The following is a 16,258-nucleotide window of genomic DNA, read 5'->3' on the forward strand; positions in this document are numbered from 1 at the left end:
TTATCAAGATAAACCAAAAATACAAGATTGGAGAATTAAATATTGAAATAGTCAACTATGGGAATGTTCTCAATTTAAAAACAAGGAAGCAAGCAAACAAACAAACAAAAAACACATTGTGCTGGCCAACACTGTGAAAGCCAAAGTAACTCTGGAAATGTATTTGGATCAGTTACTGTAAATTTATAATTTTCCTTTAGGAAGTAGACAGTAGGATAAACCATTGAAATGTTTCTTTCTTGTTTTGATGTAGTTCCAATACTTACTAAATATGTGGCTTGGACATGTTAGCTTCTTTATTTTTAAAACAGAACAAAAATAGACATCATATTGATTTGAATACTAAATAGGATAGAAGTAATAAACCATATATGGCAATGCTTAGTACATTAGTAAACACTTGATAAATAAGTGGTAGCTATTATTATTGCTTGCCAAATAACTTTACAGAGGTGTCCAAAAATTCAAAATCCCACATGTCCTCAGAGTTATTTCTGTTTGCCAGGTGTCCCTGCTTAGAAATTAATAGGAAGTACACACCAAAATTTGACATTTAGATGTTTCATTCCACTTATTTGTCTTCTAGTTTAAAAATACTTATGAGAATTCTTTATATTTTTAAAAAAAGTTAAATGATGAATAACAAAACAAAATAGAAAGCGTTATTTAATGAATTCAAATTCACAAAACTGCTTCTTATCCTAAAATATCTTAGATAGTTCTCATACTGCCCTCCTTAATAAACTCTACTTTCTTGCTCTGCAGACAATCACCTGCCTATGTTTCATTTATTTTTCCTGTGTTTCATGTTGATGATTCCTATGCATTTTTACTTTCTTCTACTATTCAATTATGAATTCTAAAATAAATATGACATTTTTGCCTGTTTTTAACTCTAAATAGTTTTATAATTTCATTATACCATGACCTAATATTTGATTGAAACTTGAGTGGTTCATAATATTAATTTGTATTAATTATCAGTGATGTACTATATCCCACTGTATAACAATAGCTTGAATTATATTTTGATTCTCTACTGATAGATATATAGGTCAAATCTAGGGTTTAAAGAAAATCCCAACAATGCTGCTATAAGCACTCATACATGTTTCACTGTGTATGCATGTGTGAGAATTTTTCCACAATATATACTCAGAGGTACCCTTGCTGGATCAAGAGCAACTGTACATTTTCACATTTTAGGTACTTCCAAGTTTTCTCCAAAGTGGTTGTACAGTGTATGTTTACCAGCACTGTAAATGTAAATGAAATATATCTTTATTACCCTTGGTATTATCACACATTTTCTTATTTACCAGTCTAATCACTGGTGAGATGGAATCAGGATTGATAAACCTATTCATGATTCCTCTTTTCTTTCTTCAAATTGCCTTATATTTAGGTTACTCTACTACTGGAATACTTTTCCTTATAATATCTTTCTTTATATTATCAACAGTTTTGAATGTTAATACTTTTTGCATTATAAACATCTTATTTTTTCTCCTATTAGCACTTTCCTATTTGTAATTGCATATTTTGAAGAATGGTGTTTTACACTTGTCATCAACTTAATATTTTTATTCAAGTTTAGCTCTTCTTTAATCATGTTTATATCATTTGTTAGCCTAAGCTGATAAATATTCTACTGGATTACCTTCTAGAAGTTTTTAAGCATTTATTTTCTATCTAATTTTTTCAGATATCAAATAATCCCTCATATATTATACATTTCCCATGAAGTTTTTATTTACACTGGATGAATTTGTAGTTCTTTAACCATGTGAAACATTTCATTATGAAATATTTCAATAAAAATATGATGTATAACTTTTATCAATATGTTTTTGTTCATTCTTGCATATATTAGTTTTTTTGGCTATTAAATTTTCTAAGTGGAAACTTTTTGGTAAGATTTTTCTTTCTGGTTTAACTGGCTATCTGATCGAAAAACAACCAAAATATCTCCAGATGGGTTAAAGAATTACACACAAAAATACAACTTTAGTGAAGTAGATCCATATGTTATCAAATAGCTTAAAACTAACTTTTGAAAAAAAAAGTCAATGTGACTACTTAAAAATTTTGTTCAGATAATTGCAGGGATACCAGTTTGAAATAATCTAACTTAAAATCATACATTTATGTACATAAAAATAAATTTGGTATCAATGAAAACACTAAATCTAGAAAACAATCTAACTTCTGAAATTATTCTAAAATAGTATAAGAATATATTTTATACATGCTTGTAATGTAGGAAGGGCTCTTTAAAAGTGTGACACAATTCATAAAGGAAAAAATGTTTAAAGATAAATACTGATTAATTCACTATTAAGCCAGATTCAGGTAACCCTACTACTAATTTACACAATTACATAGTGAATCTTTGAGGCTTAGATGCTAATATATATGAAGTAACTAAAATAAAAACTAATAAATTCCTTGTAATTGGTTTGCATTTATTTCAGCAGAAATGATATATTACTATTTTATTTATAATTATAAAAGCATGTGTTAATTTTCAGTATGCTATTCTGTAAGTGAAAGTATGTTTGAAAATTGTAATGGTGGAGAAAAATTTAGCTGCACTCTACTTAAAACTAAACATACACACATTACAGATAGAGTCCAATGAGTTTTTAAAAAATTTATTGAGCTATAATTAACATATTAAAAGCCAAAAATATGTAAGATAGATTATTAGATATGCTCTGACATATTTATACATCCGTGAGATCATCATTATTGTCAAGATAGTGAACATATAAATCCACAAAATGTTTCCTCATGACTACTTTTAATAATCCCCTTTTGCAATTATTGTCTCTCCTAATAAGCATCTTAGCTAGACAACTGCTGACCATCTTTCAGTATTGTATATTACTGTATATTGTATATTGGTGCATCCAGAAGTTTTATATAAATGGAATCATATAAGGTGCACTATTTTTTGGCTGGCATTTTTGCTTTACAGCAAAATTCTTTTGAAATTCATTCATGTTGTTGCATGTGTCAGTAGTCGAACCTTTTTATTGCTGAGCAGAATTTTGCTGTATGTATATATCACCAATTACTTGTTAATGAATATGTGGGTCATGACCACTTTTTAGCTATTAAAGAGAAAATGCCTATGAATATTTATATACAACAATTTCTTTTTCATTTTTCGAGGGGGAAATATCTAGAAGATAAATGACTAGATTAAGTGGTAAGCGTAGGTTTACTTTTTTAAGAAGCTGTCAATCTATCTATTTTTCAAAGTGGTTGTCAATCAAAAGTATATTAAAGTTTCAGTTCCTCCATTTTGTTGCATATACCTGGTAGGGTCAATATTTTTTTTCACTTTGGACATTGTAATAACTATCAGTAGTATTTCTTTGTGGTTTTCAATTCTTTAATGACTACAGATGTTAAAATTTTTTGATATACTTATTTGTCATCCATGTCTTCTATCATGACATCTTTTTCAATCTTTTGCCTTTTAAAAAATTGGGTGATTTGTTTTATTTTTGATTTTTGACAGCTTTTATATATTCTTTATGAAAGTAATTTATTAATGTGTTGGGGCTCCTTATGACCACCCTTAGGCTCAAAGATTAACTATAATGATTCACAGGTCTTAGAAAACACGTTACATTCATAGTTACAGTTTACTACAATGAAAAGATACAGATTAAAATCAACAAAGAAAAAAAGCCCATGGGGAGAAATGTAGAAGATATCAGGTACAAGCTTTCAGGTGTCCTCTCCCAGTGGAATCCCATAAGAACACACGTAATTCTCCCAGCAACAATATTTGACAGCATATTGAAGTGTTGTCAATCAGAGAAGCTCATTTAAGTTTTGGTCTCCAGGGCTTTTACTTGGGCATCAGTCATGTAAGGTGGTGCCTATATGAGTGATTTCAGCTACTCAGACTACAGCATCTGTCAGAGAAAATATAGCCATTGACTCTAAATTATATTGTTAGGATAAGCTTATCTGTTCAAATGAGCACAGCATGGTCCAAGGCCTCAGACGCTGAAAACCACTTGTGCACTGTACTCTAAAGCCAAAGATGTATAGAAACACTGTCAACAGGCAGAATATATTAAGGGCCCACAGGTTATCTTCCAAAAGCCAGCCAAGTGCCAGTTCTAAAGACAAACATTAGTCCTGATGAGATAAACCTTTCTTGGCCAATAAGATATATGCTATTCAAATGTTTTCTCAGTTCATAGTTTTTAAAAAATTATTTTTAAATGCCCTTTTCCATTCCTATTAAGCATAGTATTGAAAGTTCTAGCCAAGGCAATCAGGCAAGAGAAAGCAATAAAGCGTATTCAAACAGGAAGAGAGGAAGTCAAATTGTCTCTGTTTGCAGATGACAAGATTGTATATTTAGAAAACCCCATCGTCTCAGCTTATCTCCTTAAGCTGATAAGCAACTTCAGCAAAATCTCAGGATTCAAAATCAATGTGCAAAAATAACAAGCATTCCTATACAACAACAACAGACAAACAGAGAGCCAAATCATGAGTGAACTCCCATTCACAATTGCTACAAAGAGAATAAAATACCTAGGAAAACAACTTACAAGGGATGTGAAGGATCTCCTCAAGGAGAACTACAAACCACTGTTCAAGGAAATAGGAGAGGACACAAACAAATGGCAAACTATTCCATGCTCATGGATAGGAAGAATCAATATGAAAATGTCCATACTGCTGAAGTAATTTATAAATTCAATGCTATCCCCATCAAGCTACCATTGACTTTCTTCACAGAATTAGAAAAACCTACTTTAAATTTCATACAAAACCAAAAAAGAGGTTGTATAGCCAAGACAATCCTAAGCAAAAAGAACAAAGCTGGAAGTATCATGTGACCTGACTTTAAAATATACTGCAAGGCTACAGTAACCAAAACAGCATGGTACTGGTACCAAAACAGTTATGTAGACCAACAGAACAGAACAGAGGCCTAAGAAATAAAGCCACACATCTACAGCCCTCTGATCTTTGACAAACCTGACAAAAACAAGCAATGGGGAAAGGATTCCCTATTTAATAAATGGTATTGGGAAAACTGGGTAGTGGAAAACTGAAACTGGATCCCTTCCTTACATCTTATACAAAAATTCACTCAAGATGGATTGAAGCCTTAAACATAAGACCTAAAACTATAAAAACCTTAGCAGAACACCTAGGCAATACCATTCAGGACATAGGCATGGACAAAAACTTCATGACTACAACAGCAAATGCATTGGCAACAAAAGCCAAAATTGATGAATGGGATCTAATTAAACTAAAGAGCTTCTGCACAGCAAAATAAACTATCATCAGAGTGAACAGGCAACCTACAGAATGGGAGAAAATTTTTGCAATCTATCCATCTGACAAAGGGCTAATATCCAGAATCTACAAAGAACTTAAACAAATTTGCAAGAAAAAATACAAACAACCCCATCGAAAAGTGGTCAAAGGATATGAACAGACACTTCTCAAAAGAAGACATTTATGCGGCCAAAAAACATGTGAAAAAAAAGCTCATCATCATTCGTCATTAGGGAAATGCAAATCAAAACCACAATGAGATACCATCTCACTCTGGTTAGAATGGTGATCATTAAAAAGTCAGAAAACAACAGATGCTGGAGAGGATGTGGAGAAATAGGAACACTTTTACACTGTTGGTGAAAGTGTAAATTAGTTCAACCATTGTGGAAGACAGTGTGGTGATTCTTCAAGGATCTAGAACTAGAAATACCGTTTGACCCAGCAATCCCATTACTAAATAGAAAAAGGATTATGAATCATTCTAGTATAAAGACACATGCACACGTAGGTTTATTGCAGCACTGTTCACAATAGCAAAGACTTGGAACCAACACAAATGCCCATCAATCATAGACTGGATAAAGAAAATGTGGCACATATACACTATGGAACACTATGCAGCCATAAAAAAGGATGAGTTCATGTCCTTTGCAGGGACATGGATAAAGCTGGAAACGATCATTCTCAGCAAACTAACACAGGAACAGAAAACCAAACACCGCATGTTCTCACTCATAATTGGGAGCTGAAAAATTAGAGCACATGGACACAGGGAAGGGAACATCACACACTGGGGCCTGTCAGGGGGTGGGGGGCTTGGGGAGGGATAGCATTAGGAGAAATACCTAAAATAGATGATGGGTTGAAGGGTGCAGCAAACCACCATGGCATGTATATACCTATGTAACAAACCTACACATTCTGCACATGTTTCCCAGAACTTAAAGTATAATAATTTTTAAAAAAGAGTAAAAATTTTCACTTTTGAAGAAGTTCAAGTTAATATTTTATTTTACAAATTAAATGTTTAATGTCATATACAGCATTTATTTGTTTCAACTAAGGTCACAAAGATTTATCTTATGTTTATATCTAAGATTTCAATACATTCAGGTTGGCTTTTTATTAATGTTTATATATTTTGCAAGCTATGAATCAAATTTGTTTTTCTATTGCTTATAAATACCCAACTGTTTTACATTTCTTGCTTTGAAAACTCTTCCATTTCTTCAAAGCTGATACTTTCCCTGATGAATTGACTTGCTATTTAAAAAAAAAGATTTTAACTATATGTGTAAATCTGTTTTTGTATTTTCTATTCTGTTCTGTTGATCTATTTAGTCTTTCTTGAGGACAATATCACACAGTCTTGACTATTTCAAAATCATGAACATGGTATATCTCCCCAAATTTTATCTTTTATTTGAGATATCTGGAAAGCATATAGGTCTAGAAGTTGAAATTTGTTCTACCTATATTAGTTAGTCTTCAAGTAGAAATGATGATGGAAAAGATTGCAGTGATCAAAATTACCTAGGGAGAATGTATAGCATGAAAGAGTAATAAGCAGTTCATGCAGATCTCTGATTTAGCTTACACACCTAGAGGAAGATTAAATGAAGATCAATTTGCAAGTGAATTTAAAATTTTGTGACAAAATTTTAGGAGCAAAATTAGGACACCGTGGTGTTACAGAATCTAAAGAACTATTTTGAGCTGCTTTTGAAAAATAAACATAAAAGTTACCAATCTGTATGACTGACTTTTGCAACACTTTCTCATTGAAAACACATATTCTACAAAAAAAACATTATTTTTGTAACCTTATCATTTGGGACTCACTTTATCTAGCAGATCTAAGTACTTATACGTTTTTACGTATGTTCCCATCTATAAATTATCTGTTATATTTTCAATGACATTTTCTTCTTCTAATAAAAGCATGCTCAATTTTAACTATTTGTCTTAACTTATTTTGGAGATTCAAGGTACATTTTGTTGTTGTTTTTATTATTTTATTTTATTTTATTTTACTTTAATTTCTGGGATACATATGCAGAATTTGCAGGTTTGTTACATAGGTATACATGTGCCATGGTGGTTTGCTGCCCCTATCAAACCATCATCTAGGTTTTAAGCTGCATGCATTAGATATCAGTCCTAATGCTCTCCCTCCCCTTTCCCCCCACGCCCCAACAGGCCCCACTGTGTGTTGTTCCCCTCCCTGTGTCAATGTGTTCTCGTTGATCAACTCTCACTTATGAGTGAGAACATGAGGTGTTTGGTTTTCTGTTCCTGTGTTAGTTTGATGAGGATGGTGGTTTCCATGTTCCTACAAAGGATATGATCTGGTTCTTTAGATGGCTGCATAGTATTCCATGGTGTATATGTACCACATTTTCTTTATCTAGTCTATCACTGATGGGCATTTGGGTTGGTTCCATGTCTTTGCTATAATAAATAGTATAGCTGCTGCAATAAACATATGTGTGCATGTGTCTTCATAATAGAATGATTTATATTCCTTTGGGTATATACCAAGTAATGTGACTACTGGGTCATGGGATTTCTGATTCTAGATCCATGAGGAATCTCCACACTGTCTTCCACAATGGTCGAACTAATTTTCATTCGCACCAACAGTGATTCAAGGTATTCTTGATGGTTTCTTTGTTTGTCTATTTTGCCTTTCATTTGTTTTTGTAAAGGGAGAAAATTTTGGGCTTAGGGAATACCATAATGCTTTAAACTTCGAGCTATTTCTTCTTTTTTTTCTCAAATAATGTCATTTTGTCATAGATCTCTGAAAATGACCTTGAAAACTTCCCATAAAAATCAACAGAACTTACGATGTTCAGAGCATAAGAAATAAATGTCACCTTCAAGATTCATCAAAATGAGCTTAGATGAAATTTTAATTGCCATACTCAAGCCACTTAAATAGTTAACCAAGACATTCTCCCTTGTTTCTATAGTGATACATAGTATTGAAAATTGCTTTGACTGCACACTCAAATTATTACAATTCAACTTTCTTCAACATCATAAATTGAAAGGATATCATGTGGATCTTTGTTGTTCCCAATTAGGATTGAAAATAACTTCTGGCCAAATTAGTAGTGTAGAGACTTATGGAATGAAGTCAATTTAAAACAGAATTTTTTTGAGTTAATGGTAAGAAAGAGTTTGTTGCAATAAAATTCTTTGAAATTTTAGATATGAAATTGGTACAAAAACTTAATACAAATTCATCTACCTGATTTTTTGTGGCAATGTCATAAATAAAAGAAATATGGTCTCATCTTTCCTAAATATTTTGCTCATGCTCTTTGACAATACCGTAAAATGTACTTAAACTACATAAGAATCTTCCAGTAAAATAAAATGCAACATTTCACTCAGAAGTAAAACATTTTTAAAATAGTGTCCAACAATTGCTTCAAGAGGGTGACAACTTATGAACACCCTGTTCTAAGTGTTTCCACCCTAATTGGTTTCTTTCTTTTTTTTTTTTTTTGAGACAAAACCTTGCTCTGTTACCCAAGCTGGAGTGCAGTGGTGTGACCTCGGCTCACTGCAACCTCCGCCTCCTGGGTCCAACGGATTCTCCTGCCTCAGCCAACCAAGTAGCTGGGATTAGAAGCAACTGCCACAATGCCCAGTTAATTTTTGTGTTTTTTGTTTGTTTGTTTGTTTGTTTTAGTAGAAGTGGGTTTCACCATGTTGGCCAGGCTGGTCTCGAACTCCTGACTTCAAGTGATTGGACTCCCAAAGTGCTGGAATTACAGACATAAGCCACCATGCCTGGCCTCCCCTAATTCGCTTCTTTAAACCTCTCTACATCATCACAAGATGGGTGTTACTATGATCACTATTTTACAGGTGAGCATATGAGGAACAGAGAGGTTAAGGAGGAACAGGGTGATCTGCTACAACTCTTCAGCAGGGCATTCTGGGCAGGACTGTCTAACTTGTGAGAGGCAAGGGGACTATTTATAGCCTATGTATTCCCGTTAAAGTAACAAACATATATCAAGAATAAATATTACAGTATATTTCTAGCAACCATCTAGAAATAGGAAATAGTATCAGTACCATATTGTCAGATGACAGTAGGATTAAATAAAACCGGAGTAACTAAGTAACTGACCCTTTATTCCCTGCATTTAAAAGAAAAGTATGTCTTGGAGTTGAATTAAGTAACCTGGGATAGATCTCTAAAAATCTGTAAGTGAAACAGGGGTCACATATTAACATGTTATACTAGAAACAGTGTCTAAGAAAGGAATTTGGCACTGGAATCTACATAGGAAACAATTAAATTATCCATAAATGTTTTTTACTTTATCTTGAAAAAGGTATAGTACCAAAAACTCCACAAACACTGCTAGACCCTCCATAATACGTGTGGGCTCTAAGATAAGAGTGGAAATAGAGGCCCACATAACATGTGTATAAATATTTTAACATTATAAAGCAAACTACTCCGATAATCTGGCCTGCATTTCCACCTAGGTTCTCAATGGCCCACTTCCTGACCACCACCCTCTGGAGTCCAAAGGAGATTTGCTTATTCCCAATGTTATTCCTGCAGGTCAGCCAAAGAGGAGCAAAGAGTCATCTACCTCAATCATGTTCAGGAAATGATCAGGTCAAGATGTGGAGTGAGCCAGCTTTTCTCTTTTGTGCCACATTTTCTGACCCAGTATTTCAAGGTACTTCTAGTACACAAAGACTATTACAAGAGGGAGGAAAGAAGGAAGGTCAGTTATCTGAAGAACTGAGGCTAGCTAGAAGCCCAAATTTGGTGTGATGAGGGCCATCAAATCTCAACAGAAACAGCTTTCTCTCTCTGTTATCCTGGACAGGGCTTGTGATTTTTTTTTTTTCCTCCACTCAGCCATAGACTCTCAGCTACATATCCTCTAGCCTGGAGTAGTCAAATCAGCTCATCTCTTTCTCTCTCATACCAAACTTTCAAAAACAAAACAAAACAAACCAAACAAACAAAACAAAACAAAACAAAACAAACACTTTGTTATTGGAATAAATGAGAAAAATGTATTTGTGTTTAAATATCTGTGATACATGGACCATCAAAAGCCTCGCTGCTAATGAAGGCAATTATTTAGGTTTACTTAATCTATTAACTTATCAGTTAATAACTGCTATTTATTCTGCTAGAAATTCCCAATGGTATAATTGTTTCTGGCTGTAGCTCCTTCCATGCTTTGTACATCTTACTTGTGGTAGGCAGAATCACAGCTCTCCACAGATGATGTGATTTGGCTGTATCCCCACCCAAATCTCACCTTGAATTGTAATAATTCCATGTGAAGAATGGGGTCAGGTAGAGAGAATTTAATCATGGGGACGGTTTATCCCATGCTGTTCTTGTGGTAGTAAATAAGTTTCACGAGATCTGCTGGGTTTATAAACGGGAGTTCTCCTGCACAAGCTCTCTTGCCTGCCACCACGTGGGATGCAACATTGCTTCTCATTGGCTTTCCACCATGATTTTGAGGGCTCACCAGCCATGTGGAACTATAAGTCAGTTAAACCTCTTTCTTTTATAAATTACCCAGTCTCAGCTGTGTCTTTATTAGCAGTGTGAGGACAAACTAATACAATGGGTGTCCACATTCTAGTCCCCAGAATTTGTGAATATGTTAGTTGCATGGCAAAGGAAAATTGAAATTGTAGACTAAACTAAGGTTGTTCGTCAGTTGATATTAAGATAGGAAAGTTATTCTGGATTATCCTGATGGGACCAAAATAATCAGAAGGACATTTACAAGTGGAAGGAGGCAGAAGAAGTTAGAGTGATGAGATGGGAACTCACAAACTGCCATTGCTGGCCCTTTAAAACAATTTAAATCTTGTTTTATGACACATAATTATTGTACATATTTATGGGATACAGTGTGATGTTTCAACACGTGTATGTATAGTTTAAATATTGAATCAGGATATTCAACATATTCTTCACTTCATACATCTTTGATATCTTTACGGTGAGAGAATTCAAAAATCCTCTCTTCTAGCTATTTTGAAATATACAATACAATATTGCTAACCATAGTCACCCTGACTCCATTCCTCATTTTAAAAATGGAGGAAGGGACAGTGATCAAAGGAATGCAAGCAGCCTCTGGGCTGTGGAAAACCAAAGGAAACAAACTCTTCCCACAGACCCCCCCCAAGAAAAAACCAACCCTGGCAGTATCTTGGTTTTACCATGGTGTGATCAAGTCAGATTTCTGTCTTACAGAACTGTAACATAATAAATCTGTATTGTTTAAGCTACTAAGTTTGAAGTAATTTTACTAAAACTTGAAAGGAATTTACATTTTGCTTTTAAAGTTCTTTATTTTTGAAACTTTAGACAGAGATCAACAAATCCTCAACAAGAGATAGCTCAATTTTTACCTTTGCAAAAGGAATTATGTTACATATCTATAAGAATGAATAACTACAGCACAGAAAAATACTCATAAGTAATATATTATTTGAAATCAGGAGTCTAATAAGAGAAAATGCAAATGGACCCTTTTCTATAAGATTTAGATAAATTACATGAAAAAATATGTGTGATAAGAGGTGTGTGTTCTGAGTTAATACATATAAAATCTGAAAAAATTGCAACAGGAACAATAAATATGGAAATTGAAATCACAAAAAAATCAATGAATTTGAAGACTATTTGGAGAAATGCTTATATCATCCTAAGATTAATTTATTCTAACCATGCACCAGTGATAGTATTATAAGAAGAAATAAATTCGTTATCATTTTTTACTGTATTTATTTTTTAAGACAGAGATTGGTACTAATTCAGTAATGGAAAACTAATTGTAAAATTTGTACTGTGGTAAATTTGGAAAACAAGGCATGGCACAGAAAGAGTATATAATAAAATCATTTGGCATAAAGGCCATTTGAAATGGATTAATTATGGTGATGAAACATGTCATCATTTCCTGGACAAGTAGGGAAGATAGGCAATGAGAAGGCTATGGAGGAGAGAGAAGAGAGTAGAGTCCATAGAGTGACAGTCTTCAACAGGTTAAAAACCTGTACGAGTTCAGGTCTTGAACAAGTGATATTGGATGAAATGGGAGGTAGAGAGGACCAAAGAGTAGGATTTTTTTTTTTTAATATTGAGAAACATTTGCTGTCTAAAATAGAGAAGAAATGTTATTAACATGCATGGTGGTCAAGAAACTGACAGGTAAGATTTGAAAGAGTTATCAGTTTGAGGTAAGCACAATAGAGAATAACGACAGAGTTTATAATGGAGAGAATGCCTTTGAAAGCCAAAAGCAAAAGTTGTCTTAATAGAGAAAGAAACCAAACAAAGGTTTGAAAAAGCATTTGAATGGAAAGTTTGGTGTAGACGTACGTTATGAACCATAAACTGTCAAAGTTTATTGGTGATGCTTGCTGGTTTATTTACTTGTTGGTTTTCAGAAGGAAAGAACTATAATAGACTGATAACTACAAATTAACTGAAATTGTATATACCCCGCCTCCTCATGATTAGGCAGGTGAAGATGGGGTGAGCAAAATAGTAGCAACCCATTGAAAGGGCTGTTGAAGGGGTTATATTTTCCAGACATATCAGGAGTTCAAGTTGTTATTAAAAACGCAAAAAGAGTTTGCTAATCAGAACATAAGCATTCAATATCTATCACTATCAAGTTGTGAGATAAGGAATAGGTAATTGATTCTGTTGGAAAAGCAGAGTCATATAATGATGACAGTCTGATAATACCTCTGTGACTTGAAAGTGACAGAAGTAAACAGGAACATGAAGCAAAGAGTTTTAGTTCTGATAGTCTCTTTGAGGAGGAGGAATAATGGCACTATTGTCATTTTTTGAATATTTCCCCTAGTATTTTTAGGGATTTCACAAATCGTTCTAATGCCTTAAAGGACTACCACTCTGGAACATCGCTCAAAGCAATGTTCTTGTGAGGATTAGGCTTAATGAAAAGTCCTGTAATGCTTGGACACATGGAAAGCTGACCAGTATTAGATAAAACAAAATTGTTATAGTTGGGAATTATTACTATAGGTATTTTCATCATCATTTTGCAACATTTATAATTTTTTCTTAATGAAATATGTTGATTTTTCAGTGTTTTTAAAGTAAAATTGTATTACATTTAAAAAATTAATAGGGAACTATTCTGTTGAAGACAATGAATGCATATTATGCTTAACATGTTAATATGTGTTTCACATTATTTATAGATTTTGTCTACTGCATTGAAATTTGCTAGAATGCTGCATATGTAGAGCTTAATGTAATCACTTCCTAACTATAATCTCTGGAGCCAACCCAGTTACAATAAAATTAACTCTAATTTTGTGTCTTTTATTTGTTTCTACTTCTAGGTTAAATGTGGTTTGAGAAAAGTGTTTTAGAAAACTTTGAAAAATCACTGGCTTGTTAGAATGCATGTTCTATTAAAAGATATGAGTCCTATCTCCAGGTTACTTAAAATATTAGTTTTACTCCAAATTGTATTCTAGTTTCCCTATCTTTAAAATATGTTCATGAAACATTTCTCTTCTCTTATGAAGTTAAATGTTCTTTTAAGTTTGAAATTTATTAGAGAACTCTGATATATGATTTTTAAAAAATAACACTCTGAATTACTTTCTAAAATGGAAAGCAACCCTAAAACAAAAAGATATTACCAATATTCAGTTTTACCTCTGGCTTCAACTTATTTTTCTCTCAAGATCTTATTATTCTCTTCTCCAGCTACCCAAGGTGCGAAAAAGAAAAAAGGCCAAAGGGAAGAAGGTGGTGCTAACCCTTGCGGTCTTGAAAAAGCAGGAGACCATGAAAGTGGTGAATCTTCCATTTGAGAAATTTGGCACTGGACAGGACATTTTGGCATTGGACAGAACATCCAGCCCAAAAGGGACCTCACTTGCTTTGTCAAATGGCCCCATTATACTAGGTTGCAGCAGCAGAGAGCCATCCTCTATAAGCAGCTAGAAGTGCCTTCTGTGATTAGTCAGTTCACCAGGGCCTTGGACCACCAAACAGCTGCTCAATGGGGTAAGCTGGCTGGCAAGTACAGACCAGAGACAAAGCAAGAGAAGCAGCAGAGACTGTTGGCCTGGGCTGAGAAAAAAGCAAAGGAGACATCCCCACTAAGAGATCACCTGTCCTTTTAATGGGGGTTAACGCTGTCACCACCTTAGTGGAGAAAAAGAAGGATCAGCTGGTGATGACTGCACAGGACAGAGATCCCATTGAGTTGGTTGTCTTCCTGCCTGCCCTGTGTTGTAAACTGGGGGTTCCTTACTGCATTATCTAATGGAAGGCAAGCTTGAGACATCTAGGATTAAAAAACAAACAAACAAACAACAACTCTTAAAAATATTCTTTTAAAACTTCTAATTATTAGGTTTTTTTTTATCTCTTCAGTACATTAAAATGTCTGGTGGTAGGAAAATACTGGACTCATATATGACTGTCTACATGATTTGCAGGGCCCAGCGCAAAATGAAGTGGATGTTGTACCTCGTTCAAAGTGTTAAGCGTTTCAAGATGGCAACAGGAGAGCATTAGGCCAAGTATGAGGTCATTATGTACATGGGTCCTTTTGTGACCACACAGGTCACAGGAACATGAAGCTAGACCTGAGTGTATATTCAGATAGGTAAATCTTACAGATTTTTAAAACTCAATAAAAGAAAAACTACATTTCATGTGTGAACACAAAAATTGGAATTAAATTGGCAATAGCATTGGGATTTGTGCTCAGAGTCACAGTTTACATCTGACCACAATTTCTATATGAATTTTTTAAGATAAAACAGTAAGAATTTTAAAGAAGGTTTCTGAAATTTAAAAATTATAATAACATAATTAACTTTGATATTTTAATTCCATGTAATTTAAAACATTTAATAGATATATAATGTTCCACTATTAATTTAACTAGAAGTATAAAAATAAAACATATATAATAAAAATATTCTACTTATTTTTAAATTATCTATATTATACTGAGTAAAAGAAAATTTAGGAATATAAATAAATGAGCATTTTTGAACATGTAAAAATATTTTCTTGCTGTTTTTAGGAGACTTTTAGCAGGACAGGAGCTTACCTCTCATCTACCTCTGCTTGGACAAACCAGTGATGTGATTTGCAAATAGGCTGTAACTTCACCGAAAACACATCACAGTAAAGAAAGGTAGTGACTTTCAGAGAATTTGACCTAACTTAGAATTTGTAAAAGAGAAAAGCATTGTCCTTATGCCTAAAGTACATGACTGTTTCTTTTTAAGTTACATGTATATTTACCTGACCAATTTGTTTTACTCTGTATTTTAAGTTATCAGGTGAAATGGTTTTAGAATAAATTAATGAGTTGTTTCTTCTGAATAAATGTGCATGTTACAAATGCAAACACGTGTATGTATTATACAACTATGCAGCTTCAAGAGCTGACTTATTTCTATCAGCTTTTTATTCACTTAAAAAAATCAGGCTACTGAAGCATATTAGAATTTAATTACACCAATTAGTACTGCCACATCAGACATATGATGTGCCTTCAATTAAGAAGTACCTAATGGGTATTAGTACAATTTAGCTTCATAATTAAAGTTCTAAGAACAGCACAAATTAAACATTATGATTACAAAACATTAAAAATCTACTGGTGAAATTAAAGCTGAATATTTAACTTCTCCTTTTGAGCTGATTTTAAAAAAGAAAATCAGGATTATATAAAATGCAATGTTATTATTGAAGCATTCTGAATTTAAAAACAGAAATTAAGCTCACATGCCCATAAATATGTGCATATACAATGATTAAATATTTAGTAAAATACCCAACCTAACACTTGTGCCATCTAATAAGCATTAAAGGTTATCATTTTGGAGTTTCACTTGA

The 16,258-nt window shown here is 33.3% G+C and overlaps 1 long non-coding RNA gene and 1 pseudogene across 1 annotated transcript in view; both read left to right on the forward strand.

The window, feature by feature from the left end:
- LOC107984035 (uncharacterized) overlaps nt 1-16,258 on the forward strand; it is a 123,240-nt gene extending 106,982 nt beyond the window's left edge. The window contains exons 2-3 of the long non-coding RNA NR_148348.1: nt 9,035-9,210; nt 14,102-16,258. This is a non-coding gene — a long non-coding RNA (uncharacterized LOC107984035). The remainder of the gene's footprint in view (nt 1-9,034; nt 9,211-14,101) is intronic.
- On the forward strand, nt 14,090-14,691 carry RPL7AP45 (ribosomal protein L7a pseudogene 45; annotated as a pseudogene).

Source organism: Homo sapiens, chromosome 9 (genome assembly GCF_000001405.40).
Source record: "Homo sapiens chromosome 9, GRCh38.p14 Primary Assembly".
NCBI classification, from domain to species: Eukaryota; Metazoa; Chordata; class Mammalia; order Primates; family Hominidae; genus Homo; species Homo sapiens.